The sequence below is a fragment of the Homo sapiens genome, chromosome 4, assembly GCF_000001405.40.
Source record: "Homo sapiens chromosome 4, GRCh38.p14 Primary Assembly".
Classification (NCBI taxonomy): domain Eukaryota; kingdom Metazoa; phylum Chordata; class Mammalia; order Primates; family Hominidae; genus Homo; species Homo sapiens.
Window position 1 is genome coordinate 25,376,800 of NC_000004.12, and position 22,996 is coordinate 25,399,795.

General features: G+C 39.5%; 1 protein-coding gene across 5 annotated transcripts in view, besides 3 other annotated features; it reads left to right on the forward strand.

Moving 5' to 3' along the window:
* Positions 167-586: a silencer, noted in NCBI's record as "silent region_15324". NCBI's record gives its function as "represses an Ori minimal core promoter by ATAC-STARR-seq in GM12878 lymphoblastoid cells {active_cell/tissue: GM12878}" and the evidence as "EXISTENCE:reporter gene assay evidence [ECO:0000049][PMID:35858748]".
* ANAPC4 (anaphase promoting complex subunit 4) overlaps positions 464-22,996 on the forward strand; it is a 41,236-nt gene continuing 18,703 nt past the window's right edge. For 3 of the 5 annotated variants that reach the window (NM_001286756.2, NM_013367.3, XM_047450152.1), the window contains exons 1-16: positions 464-545; positions 619-757; positions 3,575-3,680; positions 6,462-6,594; positions 11,701-11,775; positions 11,918-11,944; positions 12,039-12,083; positions 13,337-13,421; positions 14,112-14,216; positions 15,539-15,622; positions 17,006-17,092; positions 17,511-17,575; positions 17,872-17,914; positions 18,030-18,106; positions 19,865-19,965; positions 20,049-20,100. In NM_001286756.2, the coding sequence (NP_001273685.1) occupies positions 629-757; positions 3,575-3,680; positions 6,462-6,594; positions 11,701-11,775; positions 11,918-11,944; positions 12,039-12,083; positions 13,337-13,421; positions 14,112-14,216; positions 15,539-15,622; positions 17,006-17,092; positions 17,511-17,575; positions 17,872-17,914; positions 18,030-18,106; positions 19,865-19,965; positions 20,049-20,100 (1,214 nt within the window). In that variant the 5' untranslated portion in view covers positions 464-545; positions 619-628. Of the gene's footprint in view, positions 546-618; positions 758-3,574; positions 3,681-6,461; positions 6,595-11,700; positions 11,776-11,917; positions 11,945-12,038; positions 12,084-13,336; positions 13,422-14,111; positions 14,217-15,538; positions 15,623-17,005; positions 17,093-17,510; positions 17,576-17,871; positions 17,915-18,029; positions 18,115-19,864; positions 19,966-20,048; positions 20,101-22,996 lie in introns of those variants that run through there. The other 2 variants (XM_011513838.2, XM_005248159.2) reach the window with 2 other exon arrangements.
* Positions 707-766: an enhancer, noted in NCBI's record as "active region_21378". NCBI's record gives its function as "activates an Ori minimal core promoter by ATAC-STARR-seq in GM12878 lymphoblastoid cells {active_cell/tissue: GM12878}" and the evidence as "EXISTENCE:reporter gene assay evidence [ECO:0000049][PMID:35858748]".
* Positions 797-866: an enhancer, noted in NCBI's record as "active region_21379". NCBI's record gives its function as "activates an Ori minimal core promoter by ATAC-STARR-seq in GM12878 lymphoblastoid cells {active_cell/tissue: GM12878}" and the evidence as "EXISTENCE:reporter gene assay evidence [ECO:0000049][PMID:35858748]".

Here is a 22,996-nt window from a genome sequence, read left to right on the forward strand (position 1 = left end):
CACAGCAGAGAATTTCCGGGAAAACGGGAAAGGTATGCAAGCATGCCCACACACGTGCACACACGGGTTCCCAAAAGACCTGCGTGTGGCCGCAGGGGCCTGCCCCGCCCTTCTCGGGCCCTTTCAGGTCCCGGCGCCCAGCGATCCCACCAGCACCTGGGTCCGGCGCGCGGCTCCCTCCCTCTCCGCGCCCCTCGGGGCTCCCTGCCCCGCCCGCGTGCCCCACCCTTCCTAGCTCTGCCCCATCGCTGCTCCCTGCCCCGCCCACGGGCCCCATCCTACCCCCACCTCGATCCGCCCCTCGCTCCTCCCTGCCCCGCCCACCGCGCCCCGTCCCTGTCCGCCCCTTCTGGCTCTCAGCACCCCCAAGACCGGTGCGCGCCCCGCCCCTCCTCCTCCTCTCGCGAGGCAGTCCCGACGCCGGAAGTGCCTGGAGCGCGCGACAGCGGCGGGGCGGGGCGGCCTGGAGGCTGTGGCGCGCGGCCGGCAGAGGGAGGGGAGAGGCCACTGGGGCCGTGTTAGTCTGCCGGTGGGGACTCTTGCAGGTACAGGCGCGGTCGGGGCTCCTCGTGGAGAGCCGGGGGCTCCTGCCGGCCTCTGACTGGGGTGTCGTTGCAGGGCCGTCCCCATGTTGCGTTTTCCGACCTGTTTCCCATCCTTCCGGGTGGTGGGAGAGAAGCAGCTCCCGCAGGAGATTATTTTCCTGGTCTGGTCGCCCAAGCGGGATCTCATTGCTTTGGCCAACACAGCTGGCGAGGTGAGTGAGCCGGCGGGAGCCCGCCTGTGCTGGGTCTGCTCCCGGGGGGCCCAAGAACACCGAGCCCGAGCCTGTTCATTCGGGCCACAGGCGGCCGGAGCCTCAGTTTCCCCTTCTGCAGACATGGCTGGCCACCTGCTACCCCTTCCCTGCCTCCCAGGACGGCAGTAAACTTTAAGTATATATGCGAAAGGTGATGTCTGTGCTATTTTCGGTACTTTTATGGCTAAAGTAACAGTTTTCACACAGCTTAACACCGTCACGCAATCCTGCTTCCCCAAGTCTTCTTCACTCATTGGTTTATTAGTTAAATGAACTTTTTAAAAAAGCCCACTATGTGCTGCTCATGAGCTAGACATAATGGTAGATGCAGGGACCCTGCCCTAAGTTTGCTTACAGTTTTAATAGCAGTAGGAAGAGTTATTGTCAAACTTCAGCTGCAAATGTGCCTGCATGTAGCTGCCACACAGGATATATTTAAGAACCTGGCTTCTCTTGTCCACGTTTTATAGTACGGGTTGGATAACCACCCTCCACTAAAAATACCTCTAAATTGGACAAGGAAGGCATGCATTGGATTCCAGACAGAACGTGCATGGGTGTTATCAGCATTTCTTGTTCACATAAAACTTCATCGAGTATAAACCAGTTGTACCCAACTTTCTGCTGAGAGTTATTACCTGCCAGCCATTTTGTAAGGAAACCTTCACCTGTGCATCTTTCCGCCTCTGGCTTGAGAGTTATCTGGCCATGTGAGAGTTGTATAGAGCCAAATTTGGAAACTAGGTGATAAGGAAATCTTAGCACCCTGCAGACTGTAGTCTGCACCATGTTATCTACCATGATCCAGTCGCCAGGGTATTGATGTCTAATTTTTCAGGGCCCTCCATGAAATCTAGCTAGTCTCCCTCCGCTGCCGGGATGCTTTGAAACTCTGTTGTGGCTCTAGAGAGCAGCAGGTGGTACCGTCACAGAAGTAGGAGGGAAGGTAGACGGGAGGCACATCCGTGCAATCAGATGGGTAGGCGTGATAGAGGGCACTGTTACATCCATTTTCTCAGTGAAGGAAGAAGCAAGGGCATTGTTTATGGGTGAAGATGGAGAAGAATATATTGGAAGTTTGAGGAGAAAGAAGAGGTATGAAAAAGCTAACAAAGCAGGTGGACTTGGGAAACCTAATAGGATTGCCAGTCAGTGTTAAGACCCACATGAGATCGGTGTTATTATTTGAGAGACACTGGTTGAATAAGGTTGTATGTGTCTCTCTCCGTTCTGTTTGGCTGTGTGGGTGCAGGCATGGTTGGGTTTAACCAGGATTGTCGTTTTGCAAGTATGACAAAGCAAGGCAAAGATGAAAGAGAGTTGAAGTTACGTGCAAGAGGAGTGATTGTGTTTCTGAACTTTGGGTTCTAACCTGATGAAGGAGGGAAGTGAAGGCATGTGTGGGGAGAGGGACAGTGAACAGGTGGTAGAATCAATAGACTGTATCCTGGTGAGGTCAAAGAATTGGAGTTGAGTGTTGTAGAGATGACCTGGAAAGAGGGGTGGTGGATGGAAAGTGGGAAGTTTAAAATGGAGATTTTGGTGGCCCTGCAGTTGTTGGTAATGACCAGGCCGGAGGTGTGACCCTGGGAGTGGCTGAGTGCAGTAGAAGATGTGATCACTGGAGGAGAGGTAATTGAGAGCTGAAAAGCCAGGACATCATAGCTCTTGAAATCACCAAAAATGATGATGAGTGTGTTGTTAGAAGGCATGAGCAAGCCAGGTATCCAGATCTTTAAGGAATGAGGGGAATGGCCTAGGGGTCTGTAGAGGACTGCAATTAAGACGGATAGCGAGTGGTATGGTCTGATTGCATGTGATTCAAAGTTAGGAGATTTACAAGAAGAGAAGAAATGGCATCAAGCATCAAGGAAGACACCTACTTCATCTCCTAGCCCAAAAGCAGCAGTACAGGGGCTGTGGGATACAAAATGGCCACCACCTAGCAAGGCTGCAGGGAAGCATTGTCCTCAGGTGAGAGGCACATTTCAGAGAAAAGTACGAAGATATTAATTTCATGATGACACCTGACCATGAGCTGCAGAAAGCACAGAGGAAGGGTTTCAGAAGTAAGGTATGGCAGGAGTGGTTTCAGAAAAGAGAGGGTCAAATCCAGGGGATGTTGTAACCAGGAGTGAAGGGTGCTGTGAGCTGTGAGATAAGGCAGGGTCATGGTGGCTTAGCTGAGTGTGGAAATGGGGAGGGGTCTTGGAGGAGCATGTGCAGTGGTGAGGCCTTTTCTTCCTTACTGTCAATGGTTGTATAGAAGCTGCAACGGGGCAGTCATAGAGCTCTTGGGCAACATTTTGACCTTCCAAGGTGGGAATTTACTGATGTGGAAATGGAGATTTAGAATGGTTAAGTGATATGTCTAAGATCCATGGCTAGTGAGTGACACAGCTGAAACTAGGTGCCACGTGGACTAATTCCAAGCTTAGTATAATTTGACTGTATTACAGCTAGCTACCTTTTTAGTGGTGTTTGTGTTCTTTTATTTCTTTTTTGGTTGTCACCTTGGACAGCCGCCTTCTTTATAAAAGGTAAGTCTCCCGTTGACATAAAAGATTAGGTACAGGGTTAAATTAGACCTTGTTTCACCCATTTATTTTAAAATACCTTGTGTTCATTCAGACACTGTTGTCTTTTTCTATTCTTCTGATAGCTAAGTATATATGAGAGATGGTCATTTAAAAAAATTTTTAGTAGGGATCTAGGTTTATTTTATTTTTGGAAATGAATTTTTAATTTCCTGCCATTATATCTGCTTTGTCTTAGGTTTTACTTCATCGACTGGCAAGTTTTCATCGAGTTTGGAGTTTTCCACCAAATGAAAATACAGGAAAGGAGGTGACGTGTCTGGCATGGAGACCAGATGGCAAACGTAATGATAATATTACAAAAAAAATATGTTTTTATTTTCACAAAGAGTATTCTGTAAAGCCCATTTTCAGAAAGGATTTATTGTTCTTAGTATACATAAGAATTATAAATATCACTTTGGGAACTTTTTAAAAAAAATGCCTTAAAATATTTTTATAGAACTCAGATTAATTCTGCTATCTTGTTTCTTGGCAAAGATATCTCTTAAATAAAATCTGGCTTCTTGGCAAAGATAACTCCGAAGTGAAATCTGATGGAATATACAAAATGTTTTGGTTTTGTTCTTTCCACTGTCATCTTGTCCTGTATTATTTGGCCCAAGCACCACTTGCCACTCGCCAGTGAGTTAGTTCAAAGCCATCATGGCCTTTTTCTTTCACAATATATTTTAGCATGAAATGTGTGGCTCATATTCCCTTGGTGCATGTGTGTTTGCCTCACCTGGGGGACTATCACCTTTGACCCCATACCTTCCATTTCTGTGTGTGATCTTTCTTCTGGTACCCTCTTACGTTAAAGCCTGTTATGGCTCTGGTGACTGAACTCTCCTTTTCCATGTAATGTTTTTACAATGACAGTCTGTATTGGAACTGTTGTACACATACAATCAGCACAGTAAAATGCTGTAAACCCTACAGCTTAAAGTTCATTTGTATCATTGGTACTTTAAGAAAAAAGTGAACTGTTTTTGTAAAATATGTGTTGTTCTTTGCTTAATTTTTCTGTAGATAAATATAAAGTATTTAAAAATTTTATTGGTGCTTTAAGAAAAAAAGTGAATTGTTTTTGTAACATATATGCTCCTCATTGCTTTTTCTTTTCCCCCCCAGACAGTGTCTCACTCTTGTCGCCCAGGCTGGAGTGCAGTGCAGTGGTGCAATCTCGGCTCACTGCAACCTTGGGCTCACTGAAACCTTCACCTCCCGGGTTCAAGCAATTCTTCTCCCTCAGCCTCCTGAGTAACTAAGACTACAGGCGTGCACCTTCATCCCTGGCTAATTTTTGTGTTTTTTGGTAGAGAAAAGGTTTCACTGTGTTGGCCAGGCTGGTCTCGAACGCCTGGCCTCAAGTGATTCGCCTACCTTGGCCTACTACAGTGTGGGGATTACAGGCGTGAACCACTGCACATGGCCTTCATTGCTTAATTTTGTCCCTACATAAATATAAAAAAGTACTTAAAAATTCCCTAGGTGGGGCATGGTGGCTCACGCCTGTAATCCCAGCACTTTGGGAGGCTGAGGTAGGTGAATCATGAGGTCAGGAGTTCAAGACCAGCCTGGCCAATATGGTGAAACCCCATCTCTACTAAAAATACAAAAATTAGCCAGGCGTGGTGGTGGGCACCTGTAATCCCAGCTTCTCAGGAGGCTGAGGCAGAGAATTGCTTGAACCCGGGAGGTGGAGTTTGCAGTGAGCCAATATCGCACCACTGCACTCCAGTGTGGGCTACAAGAGTGAGACTCCGTCTCAAAAAAAAAATCCCTGAAAGCAGATAACTTAGAGATGACAGTTGTTTCTGTTTTGGTGAACATCTTTTCCAATATTTCCCGATAAAATACATACATGTAGAGATCTATATATAATTTTATCAAAAGACAGTTATTTGGTGCATACCATTTTGTTGTATAGCTTTTTCTTTTTTTTCCCCCCCCTCACTTTTTCCCATGTCAGTGTGGATAGATTGACCACATTAATGTTAATTGCGTACTAACCCACTATATTTATATATTGTAATTTACTAAACCTGTTGCCCTTTGGTGGATATTTAGATGGTTTTCAGTTTTTGGCTTTGATAAGCAATGCTGTGTAAACATTCTGAACACTGGGAAGAACTTTGCCAGTAGCTCCTTAGATTAACACCCAAAATGGAATTTCTGGAAATGTCTTAAACATTCTATGCTCATTCTGTAGTCATTTTGCTTGGAGTATATGTAGAATATGTGTAAGATTAGAGGACTTTTATAAGTAAAGTTATGAGATCTTGCACTAAATCATTCAAAAACATGGAATCTCAAAGATAAATCACAAAAGTGTGCGTTAAAATGTTTATAAGTAGTTGTATTATTCATTTTTTAAAAGTCTCATGTTTTTGGACAGTAAAATGTGTTTTTTGTTAGATAATGATCATTTCAAGTTTTAAATTGTTTTTAAGTAAGAAGGCTGGGATTGGTTCACATCTGGCAAAGTTGCATGTGATGGTGATATGCAGTGAAACTCACTGCCCTCTTTTTGGAAATTCTTAAATTCTTAAATTGCACGTTAGGAAGAAATAATGACTTGTGTGGAGAAACCATACTAGAAAATTCAGCCACACTCAAAGGAAGATTTATGTGTGTTTAATGGCCTCGTTTCCCACCATCGTTTAGAAACATAAAAGAGGAATAAAAAGCATTCCAAGAACAAAGCAGATGGAATCATTGCTTACCTTTTAGACATGTGATAACATATAATTGTTTATTTGTTGAAGCCTCTTTTGTATTTTCTGCTTGACAACAGGGTTTCAAGTCTGGAAACTTTGATGTGTAAGACGTTAAGTGTGCTACGTGAGAAAGTAGTAGATCTCCTATAAAGTTTGAGCACTTGAAAATAAGCTTAGTTAATGTAACTACAATATATGCAAATATTTCTTTTTTTAGTTTTTAAAATATTGAAGGATGTTTAGGTCAAAAATTGCCATGATGAAGATGCACTTAAAAGAGTAAAACTGGGCAATAAGGGAAATACCCATTTATTTTTCTCAATTGTTACACTAATTTATTCTGATTGTTTTTTCTTGTTTTAGTTTTGGCCTTTGCTCTTGCTGATACCAAGAAAATTGTTTTGTGTGATGTAGAAAAACCTGAGAGCTTACACTCTTTTTCTGTGGAGGCTCCAGTTTCCTGTATGCATTGGATGGAAGTGACAGTAGAAAGCAGGTAATTAGAAAAACTTATGTAGTCATAGGGTATTCATGAGATTTTTATTTTTTGAAATGGAAACTTAGGAGTATCTGAGTATTGGGTGTATGTGCGTTGTATTTAAATTTTGGTTTCAGTTTATCAAGATGAAATTTTTTAATGCTTTCTTAGATTTTTTTTTTCCTTCCGATAAACATCTATAGGCATACCTCAGAGATATTGTGGGCTTGGTTCCAGACCACTGCAATAAAGTGAACATTGCAATAAAAGCAAGTCATTTGAATTTCTTTGTTTCTCAGTGCATGTAAAAGTTATGTTTATATTATGCTATAGTACATTTAAATGTGCAATGACATCATGTCTAAAAAAATTAAGCATGTAACTTAATTAAAATATACTTTATTGCTAAAAAATGCTAACGATCATCTGAGCTTTTAGTGAGTTGTGATCTCACTGAAGGTGGAGGATTTTGCCTTGGTGCTGACAGCTGCTGACTGATCAGGGTGGTGGCAGCCGAAGGTTAAGGTGGCTGTGGCAATTTCTTAACATCAACAACAGTGGAATTTGTCACATCAGTTGACTCTTTCTTTCAAGAAAGATTTCTTTGTAGCATGAGATGCTATTTGATAGCATTTTACCCAAGGTAGAACTTCTTTCAAAATTAGAGTCAGCTCTCTCCAACTCTACTGCTGCTTTATCAACTAAGTTTATGGAATATTCTAAATCCTTTGTCATGTCAACATTGCTCATAGCATGTTTACCAGGACTAAATTCCATCTCAACAAAGCACTTTCTTTGCTCATCCCTAAGAAGCAACTCCTTATCCGTTCAAGTTTCGTCATGAGATTGCAGCAGTTCAGTCCCATCTTCAGGCTCTACTTCTAATTCTAGTTCTCTTGCTATTTCCACCAGATCTGCAGTTACTTCCTCCAGTGAAGTGTTGAACCCCTCAAAGTCATCCATGAGGGTTGGAATCAACTTCTTCCAAACTCCTGTTAATGTTGATATTTTGACTTCTTCCCATGAATTGTGAATGTTCTTAATGACATCCAGAATGGTGAATCCTTTCTAGAAGGTTTTCAGTTTGCTTTGCCCAGATCCATCAGAGCGATCGCTATGTCAGCTCTAGCTTTATGAAATGTTTTTCTGAAATAACAAGACTTGAAAGATGGCCAGGCACAGCAGCTCATGCCTGTAATCCCAGCACTTTGGGAGGCCAAGGTAGGCAGGAGCTCAGGAGTTCAAGACGAGCCTGGGCAACATGGTGAAACCCTATCTTAAAAATTAGCCAGGCGTGGTAGCTATAGTCCCAGCTGCTCAGGAGGCTGAGGTGGGAGGATCACCTGACCCTAAGGAGGTTGAGGCCGCAGTGAGCCGTAACTGGACCACTGCACTCCAACCTGGGTGACAGAGTGACCTGTCTCAAAAAAAAAAAAAGACTTGACAGTTGAAATTACCATTTGACCCATACGATGCAGAATGGATTTGTGTGTTAACAGGCATGAAAACAACATTAATCTTATATATCTCTATCAGAGCTCTTGGGTGACCAGTCATGAATGAGCAATAATATTTTGAAAGGAACCTTTTTTCAGAGCAGTGGGCCTCAACAGTGGATTAAAACATTTAGTGAACCGTGCTGTAAACAGATATGCTGTCATTTAGGCTTTGTTGTTCCATTTATAGAACACAGATGGGATAGATTTAGCATAATTGTTAAGGGCTGTAGGATTTTCAGAACAGTAAATGAGTTTTGGATTCAACTTAAAGTTACCAGCTATGTTAACCCCTAAAAAGAGAATCAGCTTATCCTTTGAAGCTTTGAAGCCAGGCATTGACTCCTCTCTAGCTATGAAAGTCCTAGGTGGTGCTATATTTCACTGGCTTTAAAATACATACATACGTATACATATATATATCTCTATATGTATATATGTTTTAATAAATAAATAGAAAATCCTCGATGGCATCTTCCAATAAAAGGCTGTTCTTCTCCATTGAAAATCTGTTGTTGAGTGTAACCACTTTCTTCAGTGATTTAGCTGGAAGTTCTGTATAACTTGTTGCGGCTTTCTCTCAGCACTTTCATAGAATTGAAGAGAGTTGGGGCCTTACTCTAGATTAGGCTTTGGCTTAACAGAATGTTGTGGCTGGTTTGATCTGTCCAGATCACTAAAACTTTCTCCATATCAGCAGTAAGGCTGTTTCACATTTTTATTTTTTTTGTATTTACTGGAGTAGCACTTTTAATTTCCTTTAAGAACTTTTCCTTTGAATTCACAACTTGGAGGACTGGCAAAAGAAGCCTAGCTTTTGGCCTAATCTTGGTTTTCAACGTGCCTTCCTCTCTAAGCCTAATCATTTCTAGCTTTTGATTTAAAGTGAGACAGTTGAACACTTAGAGGTCATTGTAGGGATATTAACTGGTCTGGTTTCAATATTGTTGTGTCTCAAGGAATAGGGAGGCCTGTGCAAAGGAAGAGAGAGGGAATGGCCAGTAAATAGAGCAGTTAGAACACTCACATTTCTCCATTTTTTAAAATTTATTTTTATTTATTTATTATTTATTTTTGAGACGGAGTTTCGCTCTTATTGCCCAGGCTGGAGTGCAGTGGCGCCATCTTGGCTCACCTCCCAGGTTGATTCTCCTGCCTTAGCCTCGAGAGTAGCTGGGATTACAGACATGCGCCACCACGCCCAGCTAATTTTGTATTTTTAGTAGAGATGGGGTTTCTCCGTGTTGGTCAGACTGGTCTTGAACTTCCGACCTCAGGTAACCCGCCCGCTTCGGCCTCCCAAAGTGCTGGGATTACAGGCATAAGCCTCAGCGCCTGGCCTTATTTATTTATTTTTTGAGACACAGTTATCATTCTGTCACCCAGGCCAGAGTGCAGTGGTACAATTTCAGCTCACTGTAGCCTCTGCCTGCAGGGTTCAAGTGATTCTCCTGCCTCAGCCTCCCGAGAAACTGGAATTACAGGTGTGTGCCACCATGCCCAGCTAATTTTTATATTTTTAGTGGAGACGGGATTTCACCATGTTGGCCAGGCTGGTCTCGAACTCCTCTCAAGTGATTTGCCCTCCTCGGCCTCCCAAAGCTCTGGGATTATAGACGTGAGCCACCATACCCAGCCGAAGCTCACCATTTTATATGGCCATGGTTTGTGGCACCCCTAAACAATTATAATAGTAACATCAAAGATTACTGACCTCAAATCACCATAACAAATAATATAATAATGAAAAAAATTGCAGTATTGCAAATATTTCAAAATGTGACACAGAAGTACAACGTGAGCACATGGCTGCTGGAAAAAGGACTCCAATAGACTTGCTTGGCTGATAGACTTGCTTGACACAGGGTTGCCACAAACTTGATTTGTGAAAAATGCAGTATCTGGGAAGCAGGATGAAGGGAAGCACAATTGAAGGAGATATGCCTGTATTTTCTTGTTGAAGCAGTAAACCTGAATAGCTAAGAGTTTTCTCCTCTTTCTAGTCATTTCATACTCCAAAAATAGTTACTGAGGCACAAAAAACAAAGCTCTAGACGAGATAAATGGTGAAATGGAAAACAACCTCAATTTGCCAATCAGTAATTTTAAAGTTTTATTAATTAATACATATATTAATTTCCATTTCATGATTTATATCATCTGGAACTTTTTTTTGTGTCTCAGTAAGTATTCTTAGAGTATGAAAAATGCTAAGTTGAGCATTCTGTCTAATGCTGGACAGGTTTTTTCTTTGTCCATGGTCCTGATAATTTCCTTGTTTCATAAAAATAATTCTGCATTAGTGTGTGTAGTCAAGTAATACACCAGGGTTGTAGTGAAGAAGGCCGGAGGAATCAGTGGGTTTGGCTAATACTGAAAACAAAAATTGTTTTTCTTTTTTGGGGAAATATGCTAATTTTCTTACCATTAACTTTTCCTTTCTAATTAAGTTATACTAAGGTAATATCAAATGAATTTGTAAATCCTGAATATTAATTGCCAGCTTTCCTAAGGGAAGCCTGAAAGAATTGGATGACAAGGGTTTGACCTGGGGTTTGAAATTCACTGTAGATAAACCAGAGTGATAAATCCATCATCAGATAATGAAGGATTACAAATCGTTATGTGAATATGTAGAATGTTAGAGGGTCAGAGCATATCATGTAATTCCTATTCCAGCCCGGTTATCTGCTGTGTGTATTCCCAACATACTTTCTACTAACAGTTTAGAAGTGTTATGTGGCGATTCCAGGGTCTCTCAAGACAGCTCCTTTTTATTAAAGTAGGAAAAAATACTTGCTAAATCACCACTTTTTTACTTGCTTACTCATTTATTTCCAACCTTATTTGGAGTTAGAATTGAGAAGGAAAAGGGGGTAAATAAGACTATTTCAAAAGGCATGGTGTAGTCTCAAATACCTGTTGGATTATCAAATCCACAAGTGTGTATAAGTCATAGAACCAATAACTAAATCACATAGTAGGCCATGCATAGTGGTTCATGCCTATAATCCTAGCACTTTGGGAGGCTGAGGCAGGAGGAAGGAGTTTCAGACCAGTCTGGGCAACATAGTGAGACCCCCATCTCTAAAAAAAAAAATGTATATATTAGCTGGGTGTGGTGGCTTGCACCTGTAGTCCCAGCTACTCAGGAGGCTGGGGCAGGATGATGGCTTTAGCTCAGAAGGTGAAGGCTGCAGTGAACCATGATCACACCACTGCACTCCGGCCTGGGTGAGACCCTGTCTCATAAATAAAAGATAGTGCTACTCTTAGTAGTCATATGTTTGGTGTGAGTTCTTAAATGAGAGTTAAGAAATCATAAATTCTCAGTATCTGAGTACATATGAATGCATTTCATATGCTAAGAAAAGTGTTTATTAATATCATTTCTCTAAATGTAACGTGTGCAGGCTGATGTTTTTTTTCCCCTAAAATAACAGAAATTCCTACTTTTCAATTTCCTATTTGGGACTGTTAAACTGACTACAACTGTATAGTATTTGTGTCATCTATTTACTTGATAATGTTGTAAAACTGGGTATCTTTTTTAAAAATTAGCATTTTTAATGGCAAGAGAAGTAAAATCTTTGGTGTTTTTATAATGCTTTTATTTTTTCCTTTTTAGTGTTCTCACATCATTTTATAATGCTGAGGATGAATCAAATCTTCTCTTACCTAAACTACCTACACTGCCAAAAAAGTATGTATCACTGGTTTCTTTGAAATTAATCTTGCAGATTTCTCTTTCTTCTGCTTTTAACACTGTGACAATTTTCTCATGCGTTTTAAAATATGTATTTTTACTAAGAGTATTTTTTACCTTAATCTCTGTTTCCTTCTAGCTATAGCAACACCTCAAAAATATTTAGGTAAGATACGCCTTTTCTTGTTTTCAAGTAAGATAATCTGCTATTATTTGGAAGACAGAATTGAAAGATGACCCAATTTACTTCTATATTTTAGTGAAGAAAATTCTGATGAAATTATTAAGCTCTTGGGAGACGTCAGGTAAATCTTACAGATAAATAAGTCTAATTTCTTAAAGTTATTTCATATTTGAGGCAGTTTTCAGAAGCTTTAAGAGCAAATCCTTTATTTGCCATTTTATTTCATTGTTTTTTGTTTTTGTTTTCTTTTTGAGATGGAGTCTCTGTCACCCAGGCTGGAGTGCAGTGTCGTGATATTGGCTCACTACAACCTCTACTTCCTGGGCACAAGCGATTCTCCTGTCTCAGCCTCCTCCGAGTAGCTGGGACTACAGGCACGCGCCACCACACCCAGCTAATTTTTTTTTTTTTTTTTTGAGACGGAGTCTCGCTCTGTTGCCAGGCTGGAGTACAGTGGCGTTATCTCGGCTCACTGCAACCTCCGCCTTCCTGGTTCAAGTGATTCTTCTGCCTCAGCCTCCCGAGTAGCTGGGACTACAGGCACCCGCCACCAGGCCTGTCTAATTTTTTTATTTTTAGTAGGGACGGGGTTTCACCATGTTGGCCAGGATGGTCTCGATCTCTTGACCTCGTGATCCACCCGCCTTAGCCTCCAAAAGCGCTGGGATTACAGGCGTGAGCCACCGCGCCTGGCCTAATTTTTGTATTTTTAGTAGAGACGGGGTTTCACCATGTTGGCCAGGCTGGTCTCAGACTCCCAACCTCAGATGATCCACCCGCCTTGGCCTCCCAAAGTGTTGGGATTACAGGCATGAGCCACCGCACCTGGCCTTATCGTTGACATTAATACCTTCAAACAATATATAGACCTTAATATCTATTATTGTTTTTATTGTGTGGCCTTTCGTTTTATGAAGTTTTAATAATAATATGATGTACATATGTTTATTTTAATAAGTTAAAGGATATAAGTACTAGAGTTTCTAAAATTTTAAGTATTCATGTTTTTTAAGCCCATTTAATATATTTAGCATCATAACCATGATAAAACTGATGGCACTTTGTATTAGTTGGTAAAAGGATTGTTTTGTTATTGAGAGTGTATAAATATAGTTGTTATTAAAATAATGTATTCTTATTTTACTGTAAGCTGATTTTTTTTTAGGCTAGAGGAAATTTGTGTTCTTTGAAAAAAGGAATGAGCCTGATGTGACTGAATATTGAGTGTTAGTGGATTTGATGTCTCACTTCCCTCTGCAGGGGAGCTTTAGCATGTAGATTATATGAAAGCAGTAATAATTTATATCTCGCTTTAACAATGCAATCATCTGTGTTGTTGATTGGTTCTCAGCTTGTTGCATTGTTTTTAATTAGGCTTAATATTCTCGTCCTTGGAGGAAGCTCTGGATTTATTGAGCTTTATGCTTATGGAATGTTTAAAATTGCTCGAGTCACAGGGGTAAGATTTCTTTAACATTTTCTCTTCCTAAATTATTTCTCTTAGAATATACTAGGTACTTATGGAAAAAGAATAAAACACTAGGTTTTTTTTCAGTTTCGATTTTTGGAATTATTCTTAAATGTTCAGAGACTAATTTCCTTACTAAGATAAAATAATTGTGATATGTCTATAAAGATTGGGAGCTATTTGTGGAATTAGTCAAGTTTTTTTTTCTTTTTCTTTAACAGAAAGATTAGTATGATACACTTGATTATGATTTGATGTTTTTCTAGTGTGAGATGTAAAAGAGCTTCAATTTGTGATTGGAATGTAAATCTTCAGAAGCATTCTTAAGTCCAGTACTGACTGTACTATAGTTGCTACGTCTCAGTCTTCTCCATAGCTTTTTCATCAGACTCTTACACTCGCAAAAGGGGTAGAAAATATTGTAGGCTCTGTGGAATATGTTGGTTCTGCAGCACTTGATTTGAGACTTGGGTAGGGGTGAGGGAACCAGGTTATTTTTGTGGCCTTGTAACTAGAAAGGTCCATGCAGGCAGACACCTACCTTCATCTGCTACATGTGTGTGGCTGGAGCTGGGAATTTGTTTCTGCTTTTTAAAGCTCTGAGTTTTTGCTTTCTGCATGATAATCAGCTTCAACCTAGCAGTGATACTAAATATACTAAGGGGTTTGACTCTTTTACAGATTGCTGGTACTTGTCTTGCATTATGTTTATCAAGTGATTTGAAATCATTATCAGTGGTCACAGAAGTCTCTACCAATGGTGCTTCAGAAGTTTCATACTTTCAGGTGAGTATTGGAACTTGATAACGGTAGAGAGTAAATATGTATTTAACAGGTTTTATATAGGTTTTTATCCACATCTCACTGTATTGTAATGATCATTAAAATAATGCAAAAAAATCGACTTGGAATTTCTACATCCTAATATACTGAGTGTTATTATAGTGAATACCATATTATTCTTCCCATGCTCCAATACAGTTTTCATAAAAAGTGTTTTGGTGGTCTATTAATGACCATATTAATTTGTTGCTATTCCAGTTTGACTTTGTACCAAGTGTTTGCTTAGGACTCTGTCCCTGATAATAACAAAGGTTAATATTTATTGATTGTTTAATATGTGCCATATGCTGAATGCTTCAGAACAGTTGATTTGAATCTTCACAGCATCATAATAGGCAGATACTGTTATTATCCCCATTTTATAGGTAAGTACATGGACACACAAATACTTCAGAACTTGCTTGATGTCACAGGATGGGAAAGTGATGCTAGACAATCTGGCTGCATAATCTGTGCTCTTAACTAGCACATTGCATCTTGTGTAAAATGATCACTTAATATTGGGAAAATGCTTTATTGCGTGCTGTCTGCATTGTAGATTAAGGAAGCTAACTGGGCTCCCATAGAGTATTTAGATCATAGCCTTGCCAAGAAATCGAAAATTTTCATCTTAAATATCCCAGCCACTTAAGTATGTGTGAACTCTCAAACAAAAGTAGAACAAAAAAGATGCAAGATGCAATGTGTGTGATGTCTTCCAACATTCTCTTTGTATTCAGAGCATCAGAGAACTCTTGGTTTACTGTTCACTATGGTAATGGTTGTTCATATTTGCTCATCTTCTTAAGGTTATGTGAAACTATGATCACCAGGATTGCATTTGGATTATAATAAAATGATTCACTACTACTGTGAAGTTGGTAACAGATCATTTTTAATGACAAATTTATTAAGATACAATTCATATACCATTGATAGATATTTTCCCAATATTTATCAGTAGCCTTTAATTCCTTATACTTCCTTTAAGTTTTTACATATATTTGTGATTTAAACATTTCTTTGTAATACTGTTTCAAAATAGGTTATATTACATTTATTCTATCTACACAGGAGGGGTTGATAACCCAGAGAGAGTGATTTGTGTATGGTTATGTGTAGGTTAGGAGATCCTAAGGCTATGTGCTGTTTCCAAACCGTTCTGCTCAAAGAGGGCACAATTCTGACATAGTCTTTCTGATACGTAGTTTGACCCACACTCTAAATTACAGACTTTGCAGCAAGTGCATCTGATGATGACTCACTTTACTCTTTTGATTTTACAGCTTGAAACTAATCTGTTGTACTCTTTCTTACCTGAAGTAACTCGGATGGCCAGAAAGTTTACTCATATTTCAGCTCTGTTACAGGTATTTATTTAGAGCTTGTTTTATGTGAATATTTATTATCGGCTTCTAAAGTTCTGTAAATAAAAAGCTTCAAAATTTTGTTTTGTAAAGCTTTCTGAAGTAGAGGTATCTAGTCTGATAGATGATCTTATAAGGTCCATTAAAGCAGGAAAAGGACATTTAATTGAGAACCTACTTTCACCGCACCCTATTTTCCACCTCCAAAAGAGTTTAAATCTTTTAAAATACTCCCATAAATAAAATACCATTTACATTATAAAGTATTGTGGGAAAAACAGTCTTCACATGAGTTTACATTTGTTCATAATAAACCCACCCCAAATTACCTCCCAATTCTGTAGGTTGGTGATTTAGGCTCAGCTTAGCCAAGATGTTTGGGTGACCTGGAGAAGGTTCAGCTGATCTTGACTAGACTTGGTCATGCCAGCTGGTATGTGTCCCTTGGCTGTGATTCCTTGTCTCTACTCCACATCCTTCATACTCCAGCGAGCCAGCACAGGCTTGTCCACATGGTGGTGGTAACGGGGCATCGAGGGTGCAAGTGGAAGTGTACAAAGACTTTTGAGGCCCTGGAGTCAACAGTGTTATTTCTGCTGCATTCCGTTAGTCAAAGCGAGACTCAAGGGCTGAAGAAATGGACTCTGCATCTGACTGGAGGGGCTACAAAAGATTGTGGCCATGTTTTTCATTCTACCACAGTCATTAATTTATTTGATATTAAAGGTTTCTAGAGATCAGTATCTTTTTAAAATTGAATAATTGACCAAACCAGTATTTTGACAGTTAGTGTAGATAAGACATATCTTATATAAAAAGCTTGGAGATATTTGTTTCACCAGATAAAAATTTAAGAATGTTTTATTATGAAATTCTAAGAATCAATGGAATGTTTCGTAGTTAAGTGATGACCAAGCTGTTGTCTTTTTCTCCATCTTAACTGAGTTAAAAGAGTGATTGAGGCTGGGCACAGTGGCGCACACCTATAATCCCAGCACTTTGGGAGGCTGAGGCAGGTGGATCACTTGAGGCTTGGAGTTCGAGACCAGCCTGGCCAACATGGTAAAGCCCCGTCTCTACTAAAAATACAAAAATTAGCTGGGCATGGTGACGCACGCATATAATACCAGCTACTTGGGAGGCTGAGGCAGGAGAATCGCTTGAACCTGGGAGGCAGAGGTTGCAGTGAGCCAAGATGGCGTCACTGCACTCCAGCCTGGACGACAGAGCAAGACTCTGTCTCGATAAATAAATAATAAAAATAAAACAGTGATTGAAAGTAAATTCTAGATTTCTTTGAGACACTTGATCATAAGCACATATTATTTAGATAGCAAGTTGGTTTAAATATTTTTTACCATTTCAATTTTTCTTTTTTGCTAATAGTATATAAATTTGTCACTAACATGTATGTGTGAAGCATGGGAAGAAATACTAATGCAGATGGATTCTCGTCTCACCAAGTTTGTGCAGGTAAAGCAGCTGAAGTTTCCCATGGAGAGAGTTAAAGAATGCATGATGTATGTCTTTACCTTGAGGTACATGAGAAAAATCAGTTTGATTCATAAAAGGCTAAGATCATAATTTCTTTCAAATGGCTTCGTCTGACTTCAAACTGCTTCCTCAGATTTGCCAAAAGGGCTCTTTTCCCATTGATACAACTTAAGTGGGGACAGGATTGTGAAGTGGAGCTGGTGGGGCTTTGGCAATAAGGGCAGGTGTTAGAACAGCTGATTGGCTATCTTCTAGTCACTGATGTTCAGATGATCACTTTATGGATTTGATGGAAGTCTAAGGCAAGGAAAGGGAGTCATGCTCCTATAATTTTGAATAAATATGCTTATAATTTAAGAAATACATATATCACAATTTTTTTTTCACTTTTTTCCAGGAAAAGAACACAACCACATCAGTGCAAGATGAGTTCATGCACTTGCTATTATGGGGGAAAGCAAGGTAATAAACTCAGATTAGGTGCTCCTGTTTTTGCTTCTTTTTTAACAGTAATTATTTATTTGAAAAGTAGTTTATAGTCATAGTATGTGATTTTTTTAATTGATACATAATATTTTAATTGATACATAATGTGTTACATACTTACGGGGTATATGTGATGTTACATGCGTAGAATTTTTTGTGGGGCTATTTCTTTATTTTGTTTCTTGTTTGTGCTTCGAAATTTAAAAGTTGTAAGTGATGCATTCAGATTTCCAATAGAGAAGTGACTAAAAATACTTTGTTTTTCATTGTAGTGCTGAACTTCAGACTCTCTTGATGAATCAGTTAACAGTAAAGGTGCAGTTAATGTATCTATGTATTCAAATGGCTATGAACACATTCTTAATTTTTTTTTTCGAGTGGCATATAATATCCTGATTGTATGCTAAATATATTTTCCTTTTTTAATTAGGGCTTGAAAAAGCTTGGCCAGTCTATAGAGTCATCATACTCCAGTATACAAAAATTGGTCATAAGTCATTTACAGAGGTATGAAGGTGACGTAGAATTTTTTGGTATTGTATCCACACATACCTGGCGTTGGCCTTCTTTCCGCCGCCTTTTCTTCATCTGGCATTCTCTTTTTAAGCCTTTTCTAGCTAAAATTGTTGCATGGCATTTGAGAAGAATCTTCCTATACCCAAGATTGAAAGAGTCAATAATAATTCTGCTTTATGAAGTAATTTTCCAACATCTTTTCACCAGGCTAGACTCTATCTGGGTTTTTTTCTTAATCAGCTAAGCATGAAGTATATTTTGAAATAAGGCATATATCTTTTTTTTGAGCAGTGAGATTAACATTTTACAGTTTACCAAGAATATTGTATATTTATTTATTTAATATCTTGGCAAGGTGTTGGTGATTTTACACAAGAGGATACAGAAGTTCAGAATCAGTTATATGGCTGGCCCAAAGTTACTAAGTGTCGGAGCCAAGACTTCATCCTAGATTTTCAAATCTCATGCTTTTTCTATCCATAGCTACTTCATTGAAGCATTTTACAAGTGGATGCTGGGCGTTTGATTTATTTTGTTTGATTTTTGGTTTTTTGTTTTTTCGAGATGGAGTCTTGCCGAGGCTGGAGTGCAGTGATGTGATCTCGGCTCACTGCAACCTCCGCCTCCCGGGTTCAAGCGATTCTCCTGCCTCAGCCTCTCAAGTAGCTGGGATTACAGGCGCAAACCACTACGCCTGGCTAATTTTTGTATTTTTAGTAGAGACGGGGTTTCACCGTGTTGGCCAGACTGGCCTCAAGCTCCTGACCGCAAGTGATCCACCTGCCTCGGCCTCCCAAAGTGCTGGGATTACAGGCATGAGCCACCACACCTGGTGGTGTTTGGTTTAAATTTTGGTATATTCCTTTATGCTGAGTCCCTGGCCCTAACTACATCACCCCTCCCTTGGACCACTGTAGCACCCTCTGGACTAGTTGGGCTCTTTCAGTACACACTGTCCTTTGAATGTATTTTCCCCAGTAGAGCTAAACATATTTCTCTCTTAAAAACTTCTAATGCCTTCCGTTAGAATGGAGACCTTTGTGTGGCCTTTAGCATACCTGCCTCTCTGCCTCGCCCACACTGATGGCCATTTAGTTTCTCCAACTTGACATTTTGTCTCCTGCCTAGGGCTTTTGCATATTCCTCTTGTCCCAACTTGTTCTTCACATGCATTCTTCAGCTCTCAGCTCATTCATTCCTTCAGAAAAGCCTTTCTGAATCCCAGATTAGCTCAGGTTCTTCTGTTATACCTGCACCCCATGTGTTTCCTTCAAGGCATTTATAGTAGTTGGAATGGTACACTGTATGACTATGCGATCATGACTGTCTTCCCTGTTATACTGTCAATGCCATGAGACCCTTTGATTGTGTTCACCGTTATGTCCCCAGTATATAGCACGGTACCTGACCCAAAATGGGAACTTAAGAAATATTTATTGAACATTGACTGTGTAGTAGTTGGGTGAACAAGATGGCTGTACAACTGTCTTAAAAGGGTCAGGACTAACTGTGGAACACAATTTGATCATCTTACAAAATTTGATCTTGTCATTTGTTTATCTCTGTAGTCACATTGACCAGATGGTTCTGCTGCAGTTTTTAGGAACAGTTTTGAGAAATAATTATTTCTCATGGAAACAAAATGAAAGTTACTTTCAGTTTTTATTTCTGAAAATTTAGAAATATTCAGGCAAGTTAGTCACTTGATGATCGTCATGATACTAATTTATTTCTGCTCTGTTTGGATAGTGGCTCGGAGTCTTTATTATACCATTTGAGTGAATTGAAAGGAATGGCTTCATGGAAGCAAAAATATGAACCTCTTGGACTAGATGCTGCAGGAATCGAAGGTAGTGATTTAATTTCTCAGTGAAATACATTAAACACAGTTTACTTATTTGACAAATGACGTTTATTTATTTTTTCCCTTTAGAAGCTATAACTGCTGTGGGTTCTTTTATACTCAAGGCAAATGAACTTCTTCAGTAAGTATTGGGAGTACCTGGAATCACTGACCTAAGAATATGTCACTTTTGACCTAAATAAGAACCTAGTAAGCTGTTATGATTCTCTTAAAATCAGTTTTTAAATTTTTATCACAATTATGCCTTTATATGGTTCCGAAAAGCCAGCAGCACAGAGAATTTATAAAGTAAAGCTGTATTTTCCTGTCCTGGTCATCCTTACCTCAGGTCTTCTCGCCAGAGGGAATCATTTTAACTCTTTAACTACTTCTATTTTTAGTTCTTCTATGGGTTACCTCCATATTTCTAAATTGTATGACTATGCCACATTTCTTTTGTCAATTTTTAGAAGTTATTCTCTTTGTTTTGTTTTTCTTAGACTGTTAGGCTTGCTTGTTTTCTTGCATTGTCTGTTTTTTCTGCATCCTTCCGTCCTTTCCCTTCTGAAGGGTGGTGTAGTACCTCTGGAGTCCCCTGTTCCAGATGCCTTCCTTAGCCTCCCACCCCTCTGCTTCAGCCTGCAGCTGTGGTCCAGTTCTCCTGCACGGCTACCACCCGGGCATTTTCTTCATTACTCTCCTGGGTTAGACCCAGAACTGCCAGGATTGCCTTTGTTTCTTGGCTTATTTAATCATTTTGCTGGAAAACATCCTCTAGTAACTTTCTCAAAAAGCAGACATAGAAGGTAAACTTTATCTCCTTTTGTGTTTTTTCTCCTACCCTCACACTTAATTGACAGCTGGCTTTAGGATTCCCTGAGGGTTATTGGTTTTCACATAGAACTTCAAAAGCAGAGTTCCATAGGATTCTGTGCTTTTTGTTGCTGATGGAAGGTCTGGTGCTTCTAATTCTTAGCCCTTTATAGTTTTTTTTTTTTTTCGTTTTGAAAAAGCTGTAAAAGCATTACTCTTTATTCTTGATATGTTGAAATTTCATAACAGTGTTTTTGGGTGTGGGCCTTTTAATTCATTGTGCTATAATAAGCCATTTTAACCTGAATTCTCTTGTATTATTCTTTTAATAATTTACTCCTCCCTCTTTTATTTACTTTATTATTATTTATTTATTTTTGCGATGGGGTCTTTCTATGTTGCCCAGGCTGGACTTGAGCTCCTGGGCTCAAGTGATCCTCTTGCCTCAGCCTCCTGAGGAGCTGGGACTACAGGAGTATGCCATTACGCCAAGCTTTCTCTTTGTTTTAAACTAGATTTTTGTTCTAGAAATCTGTTTGGTCAGATATTAGAATTTGTGGTGGATTGATTTCTGTGTCTTTTCTTTTTCTCTTACATTTTTCATATCTTTGTCTTTTTGATTTTCTGAGAGTTTTTTGATTATTGTCAAATGTCAGTAAACATTTGTTGAGCACTTAACTATGTTTTAAATACAGTGATAAGTAATGTTGAGAAAAACCAAGCAAGAAACAAGGACCTAGGGCATGATAAGGTAGGGGATTCAACTTTATATAGGTGGTCAGGGAGGCCTCACTGAGAAGGTGAAGTTGGAAGGAGACGGAAGGGAGCAAGCCCTGTTGATATTTGGGGGTGGAAGGGGCAGCAAGTGTGAAGGCCCTGAGTTTGGAGCATGCCTGGCATGTTGCAGGGACAAGGGCACTATAGCTGAAGCAGATTGAATGAGAGTAAGGTAGGAGGTGGATTGACAGGTGATAGAGGATGGCCAGGTTGCATAGAGTCTGTGGGCAGTTGTTAGGACTTTGGCCTTTACTCTGGATGTAAAGAGAAGCCCTTGGGGATTTGGGAGTAGTGGAGAGGATATGATTTAGGCTTCAGAAAGATCCCTCTTGCTGCTCAGAGTTGAGAATAGCTCATAGATAGGCAAGGACAGAAGCCAAGAGAGAAATGGTGGTCAGAATCTGAAGTGGTCAGGATTGGGATATATTTTGAGAATGTAATTAACAAGATTTTCTCAATGCTTATCTGTAGATGGTGATAATAAGGGAGTCATAGATAATTATGAGTTTAGGGCCTTGGTACTTGAAAGAGTAGAATTGATATTTACTGAAAGGGGGAACAAATGTGAGGGCAGGTTTAGGGAGGGGGAGTGTAGAGTAAGATCAAGAGTTTGGTTTGGACATACTAGATTGTTCTTTAGACTTACTATTTTGAAGTAATTTTACATAAAAATTACAAGAATAATAGAGACAACTCTGCTAGTACTCCTTTACTTGATTCATCATTTAAAAATATTATACTGTATTTATCATATAATTTATCTTTTCTGAAACATGTGAGAGTATGTTGTTTATATCAGGTGCCTTTTACCTGGAATACTTTAGTGCGTATTTTCTAAGAATAAAATTATTTTCTTACATAACCACAGTACAGTTAACAAATTTAGGAATTTTTAACATTAATACAGTATATTAACCTACAGTTCAATTCCCCTTTAGCAGTTATCCCAATATGTCCAGTATGATAAGATGCAGTTCGGGATCACGTATTTGTTTTAGTTGCTGTGTCTCTTTAATTTTGAGCAGTTTCTTAAATTTTCTTGGTCTTTTATAAAAGTTGACATTTCTTTAAGAAGCACATCATGTATGTATGTATATGTATGTCTGTGTATCTTTTTTTATGTTTCTCATTTTAGGGTTATCTGATTTTTTTTAATGATTATATTTAGGTTATGCATCCCTGGCCAGAAATACTACATAATTGGTATGTCCTTCTCAAGTTGTCATATCCAGCAGCACACACAGTGTCCGTCATCCACCCCTCTCAGTGATGTTAATTTCGGCCACCCTGTCAGTGTGTTAGATGTATGGAATTTGAAATGCCCATTAGATCTGCAGGTGGAGCTGTCCAGCACAGTGTTAGTTATGTGAGACTAGCGTTCAAGGGAGGGGTCCAGGCTGGAAATGTGCATTTGGGAGCCATCAGCACATTGGTGTTATTTAAAGCCA